Source organism: Homo sapiens, chromosome 9 (assembly GCF_000001405.40).
Source record: "Homo sapiens chromosome 9, GRCh38.p14 Primary Assembly".
Classification (NCBI taxonomy): Eukaryota; Metazoa; Chordata; class Mammalia; order Primates; family Hominidae; genus Homo; species Homo sapiens.
This window is the reverse complement of record NC_000009.12, coordinates 71,862,180-71,880,829: the sequence shown is the minus strand read 5'-3', so window position 1 is coordinate 71,880,829 and position 18,650 is coordinate 71,862,180. Positions and strand designations below refer to the sequence as shown.

At 36.3% G+C, this 18,650-nt stretch overlaps 1 protein-coding gene across 8 annotated transcripts in view; it reads left to right on the top strand.

Moving 5' to 3' along the window:
• Positions 1-18,378, top strand: part of ABHD17B (abhydrolase domain containing 17B, depalmitoylase) — a 48,742-nt gene extending 30,364 nt beyond the window's left edge. For 4 of the 8 annotated variants that reach the window (NM_016014.4, XM_006717134.4, XM_017014787.3 and 1 more), the window contains exons 2-5: positions 5,747-6,216; positions 10,568-10,747; positions 13,824-14,031; positions 18,223-18,378. In NM_016014.4, the coding sequence (NP_057098.2) occupies positions 5,750-6,216; positions 10,568-10,747; positions 13,824-14,031; positions 18,223-18,249 (882 nt within the window). In that variant the 5' untranslated portion in view covers positions 5,747-5,749 and the 3' untranslated portion in view covers positions 18,250-18,378. Of the gene's footprint in view, positions 1-5,746; positions 6,217-10,567; positions 10,748-13,823; positions 15,679-18,222 lie in introns of those variants that run through there. The other 4 variants (NM_001025780.3, XM_017014788.3, XM_017014789.3 and 1 more) reach the window with 2 other exon arrangements.
• The last annotated feature ends 272 nt before the right edge of the window (positions 18,379-18,650 follow it).

Below are 18,650 nucleotides of genomic sequence, written 5' to 3'. Positions count from 1 at the left end.
GTTGACATTCTCAATGCTATTAAGTCATTCTTTCCATTTTTTAATGTTCTTATTTAAAATTTTTCTGCATAAAGGTTTTCTGCATTCTATTTTATATTAATTCCTAGATAGTCGTTTTGGTTGTGGGTGCGATCTTATTTATAATTTTTTTAACTATTTTTAGTTGTTTAATGCTAGCTAACATTGAACTGTACCAACTTTACCTAAGTTCATGCATTTGCCAAAATTGCTGAGAAGTCTCATTTGTTTTAATACTTTCTAGATTCTTTTGGTTTTCTATCAGGGTAATTATATCATCTACCAAACATATTGTTTTGTCCCTGTATATCTATTAAGAAAACCATGTGTTTTTTTTCTTTAGTTCATTAATGTGAATTACTTTGGTTTAACATTGGAAGATTTGTCATTCTTGTCTTTCAGCTTGATTTTGTATTTTGTATTTATATACACTTTATATGTTGTTTCTTTTTTTTAAGGTTTTTAAGGTTTTTTCATGCATGTTCAAAGTGAAGTGGACTTACAGTTTTATTTACAGTTCTAAGTTTTGGGATAAAGGTTATAATAGCCTCAGAAAGCAATTGTTGAGCAGCATTCATTTTCTGGAATAACTTCACTTAATGAAAGTATTTTAAGTGAAGGTGGTCTTTGATTTCCCTTTGAAGTTCTGATGGTTATTTGCATATTCTAGCCTTTGTGCCAATTTTGTCCTTTTATATTACTCAAGAAGTGCGTGAGTTTTGTCTAGGTTATTTATTGACACATGATATTCTTTCATTTCTAGAAACTATGTCTGTAGCTCAAAGTCCTTTTTCCTTTAGTACATTATTTCGTTTATTTTGCTTATCTCTTTCTTGTGATCAGTCTTGTCTGAGTACCCTTTCCACAAAACAGTAGTTATGAGTTTGGGTTACAGAGTCATTCTGTCATGTATCAGTTCCATTGATCAGATTTGTGACATTAGGCAACTTATGTAACTATTCTATGCCTCTGTTTTCTCAATTGCAAAATGGGTGTAATAATAGTCCCTAAAGCAGAGGATTGTTGAAAGGATTAGTTAATATGTGAAAAGTGTTTAGAATAGTGCCTGACACTTTGTAAGTGTTCAGTTAATGCTATTTGCTATTAGTAGTAGTGGAAGCCTTTTCTGAAATCAGCTGTTGGTTCTCCATTGCTTTTTGTTCTTTGTTTTGTTGATATCTGCTCTTAATTTTCTTTTTCTTGTTTTCTTTTTGTTTACTCTCTTCTTAAGTTGGACACTAATATTTAAAGCTAGACTTTTGTAATGGATAATTGTAACTCCTTTAGATGTGCCCTGCACTATCATTTTTCTGATGATTATATCTGACTTATTAAGAGTCATGCTTATATTCAGGCTTTTCTTCTATGTCTTAAGCTTATCAGTATCAGTAGCATCCTCAACAAGTCAGGTACCCCAGCACATTTTTACCTCTTAAGTAGTCTCTCTTTTGTCAATCCTCTTCGTATTCATATTCACCAAAGTTTTTGTTCTGGATTTTTAGGGATATACTTTGTTGTCTTCACCCTCCTTGCTCCCATTGCTCACTTGTACAAAAAACATTGTATTAACTATTCTCCTTTATTTCTCATATCTCAGATATCTCATAGAAGTCCCTTGGGATTTGGGGGGTTTTTGTTTGTTTTGTTGTTATTGTTGAGACAGGCTCTCACTCTGTAGCCCAGGCTGGAGTGTAGTGGCTCTATCACAGCTCGCTGTAGCCTTGACCTCCCATGCTCCAGCAGTCCTCCCACTCCAGCCACGCCAGTGGCTGAGATTACAGGCACACACTACCATGCCCAGCTAATTTTTGTATTTTTTATAGAGATGGAGTTTTGCCATGGTGCTCAGGCTGGTTTTCAATTCCTGGGCTCAAGCAATCCTCCTACCTCGGCCTCCCAAAGTGTTGGGATTATAGGTGTGAGCCACTGTGCCTGGCCTTCCCTTGGATTTATCTCCTTCCCTCCTTGCTGGAGTTTTTCAAAGAGAGACTTGATTTGGTTAAGTCTTACGAGTTTTTGTGGGCCTGCAGATCTCTCTCTCTCTTTGTTTTTTTTGATAGAGACAATGTTTTCCTATGTTGCTTAAGTGGTCCTCCCATCTTGGCCTCCCAAAGTGCTGGGATTACAGGAGTGAGCCACCACACCCAGCCCAGATACCTTTATCCTTATATTAAAACTGTATTTTTGTTCTATGTACAATTCTAGGTTAAAAGTTTGATTTCATCTTTAGCTTAAAATTATCTCTCCATTGTCTTTTGGCTTCCAGTGTTTATATTAGAAAGTCATATGTTCATCTGATCTTGTTCATTTTTAAGTAGTTTGTTGTTTTTTGGTACACTTTGAGGTGTTTCAATCTGACTTTTTTTCCCCCTTTAATTCTGAGAAATTCTTAAATAGTCTTATCTTTATTTTCTCCTGGAACTTCTATAGTATGGATAGTGATATTTCTACTTCTATTTCTATCTATTAAATTTTGTTGTTTTCTGTCTCTTAATTCCCACAAAAAAATTCCATATTTGCAAATTACTCAACCTGATCTTTTAGCTCACTGATGTGTTTTTCAACTGTTAACTGCTCAAGCAATCCACTGCGTCTGGCATGAGTTTTATAAGAACAAGTTGGACTTGAAATTATCTAAGTTTAACAAGCTATTTCAGTGATTTTTTTTTTTTTTTACAGAATAAAATGTTTTTCTTCAGTAACTTGCTCACACTATACTAAAACCTAGATTTATTTGTTTTGTTTATAGTTTTTGTGAAATTTTTCAGACTTAAAAAGTATTCAATTAACTTTTGAAAGTAGGTCTGTGTTGCTGCCCTATACCAGGCCTCTTATTAGGAAAGTGATCATTTGCAAGTTGTTGTCATTAAATAAGCCCCAGTTATCTGGCTTTTGGGCAGTGGAAGAGGGGAGTCATTCTGTCAGCATTAAGGAAGTGAAGTTGTCATTAAACTAGACCCTGGCACTGCAGTTTTTCTCCTTTCTGCTTCTCTCCTTTGGTGTTCATCCCCAGAAACTTCTTCACAGCATTATATATGTTCAACCAGCCAGCTTTATTTCAAAAGTAGTTTATTATAGTGTATGAAAGTTTTTCTGCTGGGTGCGGTGGCTCATGCCTGTAATCCCAGCAGTTTGGGAGGCCAAGGCAGGCAGATCATTTGAGGTCAGGAGTTCGAGACTAGCCTGGCCAACATCATGAAACCCCATCTCTACTAAAAATACAAAAATTAGCTGGGCATGGTGGTGTGTGCCTGTAATCCCAGCTACTGGGGAGGCTGAGGCAGGAGAATCACTTGAATGTGGGAGGCGGAGGTTGCAGTGAGCCAAGATCGCACCACTGCACTCCAGCCTGGGCGATAGAGTGAGACTTCGTCTCGAAAAACAACAACAAAAGTGTTTCTGGCTAAGAGATAAATTATAGGACTATAGTCTAGATACGTACCATTTACTTATTAAGCTTTTTAAAAGGCTATTGTGGCTCAGCAGTCAATGGTATATGAGGTAATCAGGGTTGACAAATAACCATAGACAGATATTAAACAGACAGCACTGATATTATACCTTGTACCTCATCATCTTTCTGCAGGTCATTTCCTCCTCTGGAACAGATCCTTTGAGTTCCTTCCCTTTCATCTTCTTCAACAGACACTTTATCCTCCTGACCAGGATAGTAAATTTGTAGCCAGAGTCTATAGTAAACATCACTAATTTATCACATCTTTTGCTGGCTAAGCCCTGTGTATGCCTTAGAATCATTCTCAGCACAACACTTCAGGAAGCCCTCAGTTAAAGTTAGCAGATGACACTTAGTTGTTATTTCTGTCCTATTTCTTGTTCCAACCAGAGTAAGCCATTAACTTATTCAGGCTGTATTTTGAAGCCTAAAAAGAAATAAAGGTAGGAAGCAATTAAAGCATTTCCTAATATCCAAGATGTTTTTCTGCCCTTCCCTCACCTTTTGAAGTCTTTTATGTTATACCTACCCTTGTTCCTCTCTTCCTGTGCTTTTTTCTGCTGCTTCTTATAAACACATTTATACTGAGCATTATAGGATATATTTGATTCTGTATTGAGTGAAAAGGGCATTTTTTCCCCCAGATATTCTCAACCATTTAGTCACTCTGTTGAGTTGTTTTCTTCCCATTTTTGGTGTAATAGGGTACTTTTTTCCCCCTATTCTTATATTTAGATTTTTTTTTTTTCTTTTTGGAGAAAATTGGATGCCACCAAACCTGTAAGGTGTTGGTTTTAAATGCCTTTTCTCTGGAACTAAGCAATGGCCTAATTTTGCTAAAAAGAGACAGGAATTTGAAAAAGGACAAGATAGAAGGAAATACTGATAGAACTAACAAGTATTACTTTATTTTTGTCCCTAAGTTAAAGTGTGACAATGATATGGCCATCACTCACCGTATGTTGTATGATGGGCCTTCACTACACCAACATTTGATATTCACAACCAGGTCCTTCAGTGTAGGTATTGGCCTTGTTTACTTATGAAGAAAATGAGAGTCAAAGAGATAGTTTGCCCAAGGACATACAGCTGGCAAACGGTAAGTGGTAGAGTTAGGATTTTACCCCAGCTTCCTAACTTTAAACCTTGTACTCTTTCTCTTCCAAACATTTAGAAAAGTTTACCTTTAGTAGATTTTACCTTTTTTCCACAATAAACTTTATATTATAGCCTTTTTAGTTTGGGCAGTAATTACATACATACATACATGCATGCATACATACATACACTTTAATGTTCTATAGGTTATTTGGGCCACTGGCACTGTGACCAAAGTGATAGTCTTCTGAGCGTGTTCTGAATCTGTGAGGCAGTGTAGCCCAGTAACATAGTGTAGTGACAGCCTGGAGTCAAATCCTGGCTCCACCACTGCCTCATCTTGTGCAAGTTTCCTTTCTCACAACAACTTACACAGTTGTTCTGAGAATTAAACCAAGTAACACACATAGAGCACTTGGCACAATGCCTGACAAATAGCTTCATAAATGCTATTAGTATGTATTCACTTTATGCTAAATTCCTAGCTTCTCCATGAGGTTCTAAGAACTTTTGCTGAGTTACATAGAAATTACAGACTACACTAAAGATATTTCATACCTTCAGGTTATTTGTAAAGAAATGGCAAATATTACCTTTATCATTTTTGACATTTATGTTAAATGAGATAATAATCACTGCTATTTGAAACCTGTCATATAGGATTTGAGTCTGTCTGCTGGTCAGGAATATTTGCCTCACCCCAGGATTTAAAGTACTTCTAGAAAGAAGCCAAAGGCCGGGCGTGGTGGCTTACTCCTTGTAATCCCAGCACTTTGGGAGGCCGAGGTGGGTGAATCACCTGAGGTCAGGAGTTCGAGACCAATCTGATCAACATGGAGAAACCCCATCTCTACTAAAAATACAAAATTAACCGGGTGTGGTGGCGCATGCCTGTAATCCCAGCTACTTAGGAGGCTGAGGCAGGAGAACCACTTGAACCCGGGAGGCGTAGGTTATGATGAGCTGAGATTGCGCCATTGCACTCCAGCCTGGGCAACAAGAGTGAAACTCCGTCTCAAAAAAAAAAAAGAAGCCAAAAATCTGTTTGGAATCATACCTAAAATAGTAATAGTCATTAACCACCAATAAAATTTACCCATGTCTGTGTTTTAACTTTTTATTGTATGAGTCTACATTCAGTTATTAAAATATTTGCTATCTCCTTTTCTTTTTCAGAGCATGAATAATCTTTCATTTAGTGAGCTATGTTGCCTCTTCTGCTGTCCACCTTGTCCAGGGAAGATTGCTTCAAAATTAGCGTTTTTGCCACCTGATCCAACTTACACACTGATGTGTGATGAAAGCGGAAGCCGTTGGACTTTACATCTGTCTGAACGAGCAGACTGGCAGTATTCTTCTAGAGAAAAAGATGCTATTGAGTGTTTCATGACTAGAACCAGTAAAGGCAACAGAATTGCTTGTATGTTTGTACGTTGTTCACCCAATGCGAAATACACTTTACTCTTCTCACATGGAAATGCTGTTGATCTTGGTCAAATGAGCAGCTTTTACATAGGACTAGGATCACGGATTAATTGTAATATATTCTCATATGATTATTCTGGATATGGTGCCAGTTCCGGGAAACCCACAGAGAAGAACCTCTATGCAGACATTGAAGCTGCTTGGCTTGCTCTTAGGACAAGGTAAATTGTGGTTGGAATTTATTTTTCATACTCGTGGTGGTTAGCTAAAAATATCTTGTGTAAGAATAGAATAAAAGCTGTTTTTATTATACATAACTGCTATATAGAGGTTATATTTACTATTATATACCTGTGAATAAATATTTTAGACAGCAATTTTAAATTTCACATAATAGCAAAACAAAGTTTTTAAAGACAGTTTCAGGTTTGTTTGTCTACATTAATACACGTATATATGTATGTTTTTTTTAACTTAAATTCTTAGCTGGAAGTCCATGGTGCATGCCTATAGTCCTAGTTACTTAGGAGACAAAGTCAGGGGAATCACTTGAGGCCAGGAGTTTGAGGCTGCAGTGAGCTATGATCGTGCCACTGCACTCCAGCCTGAGTGACAGCGTCAGACCTCATCTCTTAAAAAGTTAAAAAAAAAAAAAAATTAAATCCAGTGACAAATGTTTGGTTTTTGTAAGCTTTCTTATTGGAGTGTGATATAAAAAATGTTTATTCAAAGCTGCAACCTTTCAAGGAAATGAGAGAAAATACTGACATAGCTAATTATTCACTTGATCTGTCATTAACAGTATGAGGCTGGATTGCTTTCTATTAAAATCTTAAGCCAAGATTTGCATTATTTTATGTGATTACTTCTTGGGAAGTACAACTTAAAGATACCTTATTGGAATTATTTTTCAAGTATTCATTCTGTAAAACTGAGATTTTACTTTATATTCTGTGTTCCTAAAATTGGGAGAGATTATATCAAGTTTAAAAAAATTTTTTAGGCTGGGTGCGGTGGCTCACGCCTGTAGTCCTAGCACTTTGGGAGGCTGAGGCAGGCGAATCACAAGGTCAGGAGTTCGAGACCAGTCTGGCCAACATGGTGAAACCCCATCTCTACTAAAAATACAAAAAAAAAATGTCTGGGCGCAGTGGCTCATGCCTGTAATCACAGCACTTTGGGAGGCTAAGGCAGGTAGATCACGAGGTCAGGTATTCGAGACCAGCCTGGCCAAGATGGTGAAACCCCGTCTCTACTAAAAATACGAAAATTAGCCGGGCACAGTGGCGGGTGCCTGTAATCCCAGGTATTCGGGAAGCTGAGGCAGGAGAATCACTTGAACCTGGGAGGCGGAGGTTGCAGTGAGCTGAGATCACACCACTGCACTCAAGCCCAAGTGACAGAGTAAGACTCTGTTTAAAAAAAAAGAAGTTTTAATGTTATGATAAATTGTTTAATAAAATTTTCTTACTATGTCAGTTATTCTTTGATTATAGCAGCATACATTTTGGGGAACTAGAAATTGCATTAATCTTTTCTAGTCACCAAGATACCTAAACATTTTTCTTGAAAAAAAAATCACAATTTGGTAGACTTCAGTGTATTATTAGTCAGGTTAGTGTACAATAAACAGATACCTTAATATAGGCTATTCTTTATATTATATGAAAATAAAATATCTGACTTCCAGGATGTTTTAGACTGAAGCTATAGGATATAAAGAAAACTTACTGTTTCTAATTTAATGTTTAAATATTAAAGATTTCATTTAGTCAGGAAAAATTTCCTCAATTTTAATAATAAAGTAGTTAATATTATTAAAGATATTAAAAATATCTTTAAAACTATTTTTCCCTCCAAAGAAATGTAATAAAGTTATGCTCTCATAGCGAAGTTCTACATAAAAGGGATTCTTAAAATCAACTGAAATTATATAAAAACATAAATATGGGGAATAAGGAAAAAAAGATGGCAAGTAGTAGGTAAAGAGTTGATGGGGGATGGTAAAGTTATTGTTTAATTGATAAATTAAAAACTGCTTTAAATAAAAATCTTTTACATATATTGATATCAGTTCCATCAAGCCTTAAAACAAACAGAAACTGAGTGCCCACTTTTTAGAGTCAGTCAGTTGAATAACGTATAACAACTATAAGAAAGTATTATAATTAAAAAAATAGCTTTATTGAGTGATAAGGTTCACACTTTTAAAGGTTAACTTCAGTGGAATAATGAAGTTTTAAAGGGTGCTAAGTTAAAACTGATAGCCAGCTTTCATTATTAGTGCTTCCCAGTAACGCAAAAGGGTCACTTTACTCAAACAAAACATGTTAGTATTCAGTTCAGTGTTCTGTGTCTATATGAAAAAATCCCATTTTTTAAGTGGTCAACTTTACTGTTTTTTTCTTTTCTTTTCTTTTAATCTTGGCATTTACCAATTTGAAGAAAACTTTGAAAAATGATTTTCAGCCTTAATTTTTTTAACATATTTGATAGCCAGTGTTAATCAGGAATGGGCAGATTTCATCAATAATCCCACATACTATTTTAGCACTTATATTTTAGAATTTTAGACCTGTGTTTTCTTTCGTGTTGAAACCAAAATATAGTTGGAGTTTCATAAGTGTAGGTACTTTAGGAAATATTACTTCTCTGAGCCTGTGTTTCCTCATCTGTTTAATGAAGAGATTGAATTAAATGATCCCCAAGATCTTTTCCAATTCTGGAATTCTGTCATCTAATGAAATGTGTGTAATTAGAATACATGCCTTTTATTTTATTTGCCTGATTAAAAGTTAGGACTTAAGTAACCAGGAGAGAGAAAATAAATAATGAACTTAAATAATGTTCATTTTTGGGATGAATGAACATTGGAATGTCCTTTTTGGGAAAATTGGATATCCATAATAACTCCAATTTCTGACCTTCTGATGGACCAAAAGAAACTCGGGGCCTGGCATTCACTATGCACCTTTCCCACAAAGTCCTTGAGTTCCTCATCTGTGTGCTTCAGAGGTAAAAAACACTGAACTGGGAGTCAGTATACCTGGGTTCTAATTATAGAGCTGTCATCTACTGGTGACTTTGAAGATCTGCTCATTAGGCAGCTGGACTCTAGATTAGATGGTCTCTAAACTCCTTTCTAGCTCATACTGTTAGGCAGTTGTTACTCTTGTGAGTCCCCTCATGCTTAATTGTCAGCTACCTCTGCGACTCTATCCTTGAGCATTGTCATTGCTAGCTGTAGCCCAAATTTCATGATTGCCACCAACAATGCTGATATTCAGCTGACAGCAACAATGCAGCCTCAAGAACTGTGGTCATGCTGCAAATGTTCATTCTCCTAATTTCTTCATTCGTATGAAATATGTGCAACTAGGTCTGTTGTAAAGAAAAAAGCTTTTCTGAGTTTGCTAATATTTAGAGTCAATTTGAAGTAGACAGAGCCCCACTTTCTGTGTCCTATACAAATGCTTGTGTAGTACTGACTTGAAGAAACTATATGGGGAGAGCTGTGTTACTACCTGTATAGTTGAAATAGTATTATGCCCCTGGAAGAGAACACACGGACAGTTTCCCTCGCTCTTTCCTGGTGAATATCCAGATTCTTAGAAAGATATTTTACCTTTGCAAAAGATTTCCAAAAGCAGCTGTTATGTTCTTAGCTGCCAGAGTGACTGCTGTCTGCCTTCTAAGTGGAAAGGTGTATTTAATGTCACTATAACCTTTAAGCCCACATTCATTAGCTCAGGTAGCACTGTACTTACACTTGCAGTAGTTTACATTTGGGATGATTATACTGTAGACAAGTAGCAAGCAGTTCCTTGAACATACTAGGTACCCAATAAATATTTATTGAGTCAATGAGTTTTCATCTATTTAAACCTGTGGCCATTTTAAAGGGATTAAAATAGTACCTTGTAATTTTAGCGTAAAGTCTAATCATAAATAATTGGACCATGTGGTGTTTGGAATTCTTTTTTATCTTTTCAACCATTAGTCCATTTCTACAACTAAGCAAAGATCAATTTTAAGAAAAATCGTAAAATCATAATTTGCCCTTTACTAAAACCATACATATATTCATTTCATACCATAACTATATGTAACAGTTCATCAATATGACCAATTTTGGAAATTAAAATGAGCCACTCTTGATGTGTGGAGAAATAAATAACTTTTGTTACACTGAACGGAAAATAAATATGACCTATTCATTCAACATCAGTTCATTAAAATATTAGTGATATGCCCCAAGCTTAGTCAGCAGTAAGCTAGGTTGAAATATTATAGTGTAATAAATTATTTAATAAATTTATTTCTTAAGATTGAAATCTTAAAATACCTCAGCAATTATTCTTCCAAAAGATGAAGTAGAGAAACACATGAAATAAACTGATGATACAGACTTTATTGTAATGTTAAAACTAACAGTAATAGCTAAGAAACTTAAGTTTAAAAAATGGATTAGTTGACATTGTCTTATTCTAAGATCAAATCCTTTGGAATGATGGAACATTTCATATCACTCCAACTTTTTTGGTTTTTGTTTTTAACGCCTGAACTTTGTAGATATGGCATTCGCCCTGAAAATGTGATTATATATGGCCAAAGTATAGGGACAGTACCGTCTGTGGATCTTGCTGCTCGATATGAGAGTGCTGCTGTTATTCTTCATTCTCCTCTGACTTCGGGAATGCGAGTTGCCTTTCCTGATACCAAGAAGACCTACTGTTTTGATGCATTCCCAAAGTAAGTAGCAATATTCAAAATAGTTAAATTCCAAGAAACTTGGGAATTTTTTCATCATTTAAAGTATTCATGACACAGTTCACTCAACCATAAACTTCATTTTATATATATTAGCACATAGAAATTATGAAAAATTAATTTGTAAAGAGGGTATTAGCAGGTGACCAGTCAGAAGGCTGAAATGTTTGAGGAGTAGTAATCCAGATGAAAATTGCTGAGGGCCTTACACCTCAGGTGGTGGCACTAGTATTGGAGACAAGGGAATTAATTTGAAACATAAATTTGACAGAACTGAGTATCAGACTGGGTGTAGGATGCTAAAGAGAAAAACTTGAACATGACTACCATGTTTCTGCCCTGAGGTGCTAATGGATAGGGCCATCCAGTGAGACACTTGATGTTAGAGAAGAACAGGTAGAAGCTAAAATGAGTAAATATCTGATTAATGATACCTAACTTACAAAAGAAGTGAATTGAAAAAAAGTTGAATCTTAAATTAACTAGATTAGTAAGTATTGCTGCCACAAAACCTGCAAACATACTTAGATGTATTTGAAAGGAAAGTAGCTACTTTTCCTTCATGCTTCTCAAGACAGGAGGTAGTTCCCACCTACTCTTCATAGTTGGAAAAAATTAATGGCCTATTTTTCTCAAGGAGAAGACAAGAAATAAGTTGGCAAATTTTAGTTTTCTCTCCTTTCTCCAATTGGCAGCAATACAAAGGATTTTTTTTGTGAATGGCCGATGGGCCAAAGGCAAAGTCATCACATGGTTCAAGAATTATTTTAAAAACACAGAATTTTCATCATTAGCCAGTAATGGATCACTTTAGTAGGGAAAGTATGTGAACACATGATCTTATCACAAGGGCAAGCTGTGGGCATGTTTGGGTTTTTATTTTGTTTTGGGTTTGTTTTTGTTTCAGGTAATGTGGGTATAGGCATTATACTGCCTCTGTCTAGCTGAATGGTAAAAATGATAGGGATGTATCTGAGTATCCCCATATCAGTGTTGTTGTCAACTTATGTCTCCATCTAGCTCCCTCTTTCATTTCTGGTGCACCAACAGAGAGCAACACTAAAAATAAACTGTTTGGCCAGGCACAGTGGTTCACGCCTGTAGTCCCAGCACTTTTGGAGGCCGTGGCGGGTGGATCACTTGAGGCCAAGAGTTCGAGACCAGCCTGGCCAACATGGTGAAACCCCGTCTCCACCAAAATTACAAAAATTAGCCAGGCATGGTGATGCGTGCCTGTAATCCCAGCTACTCGAGAGGCTGAGGCATGAGAATCCCTTGAACCTGGGAGACAGAGATGGCAGTGAGCCAAGATGGTGCCACTGCACTCCAGCCTGGGCGACAGAGCGAGACCCTGTCTCAAAAAATAAAAATAAACTGTTTGAAAAAGATAATATACTTCTTTTTATTTTTTATTCAAGTTTTAATTCCTCTACCGCTGAACATCTTTCTGACAACAGATAGTAAACCCAAGTATTTATTCTTACCAAATGCAGCCTTAGATTATTTCATTGATGGTTTTTTCATTGTCAACATTCCATTTTCATTTTATGTTTATTATAATACCTTTCTCTAAAGATTCTTAAAAAGAATTGTCTGTGTAGTTTCTGTGTCCTCCAAGTTGCCTTTTAAAAAAGTGTTTGTTTTGATTCCTCTGTTATTTGAAGTGTTCTCCTCTCATGTCTGATAATTCTTGGTTGCCTGCTTATATGTAAGTAAAGGAGCTGATCAACTCTTTACTCTTACATATAAGCAGACAATCAAGATTTAGCAGATCAACTAAAGGGCTGATCTGATAATAATCTCCAAAGAAGGCTCTTTCTTTCTTTCTTTCTTTCTTTTTTTTTCTGAGACAGAGTCTCGCTGCGACACCCAGGCTGGAGTACAATGGTGTGATCTTGGCTCACTGCAACCTCTGCCTCCAGGGTTCAAGTGATTCTCCTGCCTCAGCCTCGCGAGTAGCTGGGATTACAGGCATGCGCCATCATGCCTGGCTAATTTTTTTTTTTTTTTTTGTATTTTTAGTAGAGACGGGGTTTCACCATGTTGATCAGGCTGGTCTCGAACTCCTGACCTCAGGTGATCCACCCACTACGGCCTCCCAAAGTGCCGAGATTACAGGCATGAGCCACCGCACCTGGCCCAAAGAAGACTTTCTAAAAGTCCCTCCTGGAGGACAGTGGCCTGACTACCAGCATTCTGGGAGCCACATAGGGAAAATGGGTTCATAGTAGCCAGTATGTAAATGTATATGTTTCCATTGTCTCTATGATACCTCTGTTCTAAACTCTGGCAGTCTTCTAGTTCACAGACATTCCAGTCTTGGGGGCAGGCAGTTTCTGGGTATATGAACAGGCAAAAGGAACTGGGAAGGGGAGGCTAACTTTCTTACACAGACTTTGCAAAAATCCTGTATATTTCAATCACCCCCTTCATCACCATGGTAATTCCTTAGCTTTCTGGGGTATTCTGTTGTATAAATTGGTTTCGTTCATCACTTTACCATCTATCTGCCTAAAATTGTGTTTTCTTCTTTTAATAAATTGTTTCACACATTAATCTTCTTTCCAGCTCCAACATTTTATTATATTTTAGTACATTCTCCTTGTTTTTGTATCTTTATCCTCAAACAAGAACAAAAACATAAAACATTTTGCTGTCATTTTAGTAGGAGACTAGGAGAAAGAATATAGTGAGTGCAGAAAGTGAAATTAGCGCATACTTGAAATGGTTCTTAAATTTTCTCTTCTTCTGGACACCTAAGTTTCTCTGTGCCAAAAGTCAACATTGTAGAAAGGTACAGTAGAGTGACAAGAGCATTGAGTGATTCCAGCAAAACCATCAAAACAAGTGCATGAAAATAACTTCCTCAGATAATCTTAAGGTAGGGAGTATGTAAAAGGCAATTTTTGAATCTTACTGGAAATTCAGGAGACATTCTTACCTTCTGAACTGATTCATACAATTCTCATATTTGAATTATCTGTCTGATATAGCACAAGAATATGTTCCTTTACATAGTTAATTTATTGCATTTTTCCCCCTTCCTTTTTCCCTGCAGCATTGACAAAATCTCTAAGATAACCTCTCCAGTATTAATAATTCATGGGACTGAAGATGAAGTCATTGACTTTTCACATGGCCTCGCATTGTTTGAACGTTGCCAAAGACCTGTGGAGCCTCTCTGGGTTGAAGGAGCAGGTCACAATGATGTGGAACTTTATGGACAGTATCTTGAAAGGTTGAAACAGTTTGTGTCACAGGAACTGGTAAATTTGTAAAATATTCTGTAAATTTGCTACTGGGTTTTCCTTTCTTGCTGAACTGCACTCTTTGGTAAATAACATAAAACCTGAAGGTTTTGTTTGCAAATCATGTCAGTTGCCTTCATAAATGTACAGGTAATGATTTGTTAACAGACTTAATGAAGGTTTTAATTACCAGAACTAAAAACTGGAAATAACAGTACCGTGCAGTCAGGCTGTGTAATTTATATTTTTTCTGTGAATTTTTTTTTAACATCAAGATGAGTACTGTATGAGATTTTAATTCTATAAAATCAAATGCTGTAAAAGTATTGCCAAATGCTTTTGCATACTAGAAACAAATTTATAAATATTTTTAAAACATCTCAATATATTAAATCTTATCCTGGAATACAACTGTAATATTTTGAAAAAAGCTATGTATCTAAAGCAATTTAAGTACTCATAATGGAATGAACTGTAAAAGAGATTTAAAACCATGCAAGTTCACTAGAATTAACCTAAACCCTGTTGTACAGGGATAGAGGTTTAAAGTTATTTTATTGTAAAATACATTGAATTTTCTGTATACTCTGATTACATACATTTATCCTTTAAAAAAGATGTAAATCTTAATTTTTATGCCATCTATTAATTTACCAATGAGTTACCTTGTAAATGAGAAGTCATGATAGCACTGAATTTTAACTAGTTTTGACTTCTAAGTTTGGTACTGTGAGGCAAGTACTTAAAATTTTCATGCTGGTTACTTAAAAGGCATTTAGAGATTTCAAGAATGATTTTGTATACGATGTTTTAAATTTTGACTGATCTCATAGTCTTCATAGAATTGCAGTAGTCTTCATTGTATGAAATCCCGAAAGTCCATGAGTTGATCTTAAAGACCACTAACAGACTGGCTATCAGATCCCTTTTCACTTTGGCTATTTTTTTCATTTTTTGAGATGGAGTCTTGCTGTGTCACTGAGGCTGGAGTGCAGTGGCGCGATCTTGATTCACTGCAACCTCTGCCTCCCGGGATCAAGTGATTCTCCTGCCTCAGCCTCCTGAGTAGCTGGTATTACAGATGCTTGCCACCACGCCTGGCTAATTTTTGTATTTTTAGTAGAGACAGGGTTTTGCCATGTTGATCAGGCTGGTCTTGAACTCCTGACCTCATGATCTGCCCTTGGCCTCCCAAAGTGTCGGAATTACAGGCATGAGCCACTGCGCCTGGCCCACTTTAGCTATTTTTAAAAATAGGACCTATTGTTTTGGATTACTATCTGAGAATTTCATGGATTCACTCCTGGGTATAGGAGATAAGAATACGTTTAATTCATAACTTTTATATTAACCAATATAGTAAAAAAATAAAGCTCACACATACAAAAACTAAGTTGCCTTTCCTTGAATGAACCCTGTCTGAATAAAACAATGAAAAATAAAAATAAAATTAATGGTATGTAGTCTAATTTGTAAATGAATGAATATGGAAATAATACACACTGTGGATATATTTTAAGGCCTTATGTAGTTTTAATTGTTCTGCTCGTTCCGTGGTTATGTTTAAGACTATAGTATATGACTCTCTTCAAAGTATATCAAGTATTGTGAATGCTTTGGTTCAGATGTGTCAAATTAACAGTAAAACAACAAATATACCACTGACCTGTGCTTATTTGCCTTTTTCCATGCTCCCCACCCCCACACTAGAAAGAGTGAAAAAAAATTACCCTTCGTTTTTATAGGACATAGTTTGAAAATTTTTAAAATTATATCATCACTTTTTTGGAGAGGTCTTTCTTTCTCAAGATTGTCTTGTAACCTATACAGTTTCTTCTTTGTACAGCATACAACCCAGGGCTTAGCTAAATGTTTTCTTTGATTACCTGGGGAAATCTAAATATTGATCCTATTCATTCAGTGTTCGTTCATTCAACAGACAGTTACTGAATGTATAAATCATGCAAAAACCTGTGCTAGGTAAAGACAGACTGTGTCCTCATAGATTTCATGGTATAGCTAAGGAGACAGGCACCTCATTGCACAAATATTACTATTTTGATAAGGGCTGAAGGAGATTTGTAAGGTATTGTAACAGGTAAAAGGTACTTTTGGGAGGGGAACATAGGGAGCAGGGCAAGGAAGAGTCCCCCAGAGAAGTGGTATTTCAGCTAAGTTTTGAAGGATAACTAAGAATTGGGTAGACCTGGGTGACCCAGGGGAAGCATTCCTAGCTGAGGGGAATGAATAATATATGGAAGCCTAGAGGAAGGAAGGTGCAGTTAAATATGAAGACTGGGCCAGGGGCGGTGGCTCATGTCTGTAATCCCAGTACTTTGGGAGGCTGAGGCAGGTGGATCACGAGGTCAGGAGATCGAGACCATCCTGGCTAACACGGTGAAACCCTGTCTCTACTAAAAACACAAAAAGTTAGCTGGGCGTGGTGGCACGCGCCTGTAGTCCCAGCTACTTGGGAGGCTGAGGCAGGAGAATCACTTGAACCCGGGAGGTGGAGGTTGCAGTGAGCCGAGATCGCACCACTGCACTCCAGCCTGGGTGACAGAGCGAGACTCTGTCTCAAAAAAAAAAAAAAAAAAAAAAAAGAAAGTTTGGCCTATGCATGAGGCTGCTAATTAGGAACACAATTACAGATGGCATGGTGAACCCTAGTCTTTATCCTAGAAACAAATAGGCCATTGATAGAAAAAGGAAACAGCACTTGTCAAGAGTATAGATGAAAAAATCTGGAGATTTTCGCTTGCTGGAAATAACGTGTAAGTCAGTTGTGTAGAAACTGATCTAATTTTAGAGTGGTGAAAAATACATCATGGGAAAATGATACACAAAGTGCTGTTCAAACCACATTTACATTACTAATGTTATTCCAGGATGCAGTGAAAGGATATTTACAAATTAGAGCAAATCCTGAGGTATTTGCCAAGTTGGAAAAGGTACCGTAAACTGAAACTCCCAAACCAGCTGAAAGATGTGACTAAGGAGTAATAGCTACCTTCAAATATTTGAGAGGCATGTACAATGTATTTTATCTGGCTCTCAGAGCAGGACTGGGTGAAAATTACACAATACCAGATTAAAGCTCAGTATGAGAAATAACTTTATGGCTATTTGTCCATAAAGGAAAGGGATTGCTTCCTAAGCATTAATGAGTATCTTATCACTAGAGACAGAGCAGAAGCTGAATGACATCTGTCATAGGTGTCACAGAAGAAATTCCAGATTTAAATGAAAAGTCGAACTAGATGTACTGTGTGTAAGGTCGTTTGAGACTTTGTATTCCATTTTGATTTCCCCTACTTACTCCTGAGAGCTTACCTATGGTTTTTAGAAGACAGTATGATGTAGAATTAAATTGGCAGTCAGATCTGGGCCTCTTGTCAGCTAACAGTGACTAGATCTGCAACATTGGGCAAGTTATTTCTGGACCTCAGTTTTCTCACTAGAAATTAATGGAACTAATTGAATAATAATATCCCTTACATTTCTAATGTAATGTGAAAATTTCAGCCCTACTCACACGTAATGGCTCATATCAGTTTTTAGCCTTAACTGATGACTAAAATGGTCCCAATTTGTTTGTTTTGATATTTGGCTTTTGTACATACTAACATAGTACAATTTTGATAGTAACACAAATCCTTGGTCTTGTGCCATATCCTCCAAGTACAAAAAAGAATGATGAAGAAGAACTTTCATGAACTAGTTTGTCATCTTCATACTTTTCCAGGTTTCTTACACAAATTTACCAGTTCTGTATCCTACATGAATATATACCATAGATTTTTTTTTTCTCGGTGATTTCTATAAATATATAGGTAGTGTTCACTTTAAGAGAGCTTCATAAGTGAAAATGAATTTTAAGCAGGGAGAGGTGGCTCAAGCCTGTAATCCCAGCTACTTAAGAGTCTGAGGTGGGAGGACCACTCGAGTCCAAGACTAGAAGGCTGCAGTGAACTGATTGTGCCAATGCACTCCAATGGAATGAGACCCTGTCTCTGCAAAAATAATTATAAAATGAATTTTAGAAATTGTAGACTGACAGCAATTATCATGTAAATAGTGGTATTCTTGCATTTAGACATACATGACAAAATCTTAAGAGTGATTTTTCATAAACAGTTATGGAAAGCCACATAAACTCAGATTATGAAAACTGCAGAGATGATATAGCCTAATCCCTTTATTTTACAGGTGCAGAAACATAAAGAAGGGAAGTGATTTTCTCAAGGTCTACAGTTTTCAATGACGGTACTATGTATTCCATTATCTTCTCTTTACCAAACTTAACTGGATTAATATACCAATGATCCTTTCAAATTATATGACATAAACTTATTTGCTCTCCAATGTTAGTCACAATTGTATTTTTTTAATGGGTAGGTTCCTCCTTGTCAGTTATTCATTGAATAGTAAATTGGTAGATTGTGCCAATTAATTCTCAAGTTAATGATTATTTAAAGAATTTAATACTAATTCATTTTACTAGGCACAGTTACAGTTAGTTATGTTGAAACCTAGTGAGGATGGTAGCCACAGACACATGAATAAACAAGTGTTTACTTCAGAAGCTGATTTACTATAAATTGTAACACACAGAATAAGCAATTACATTGAAAAAA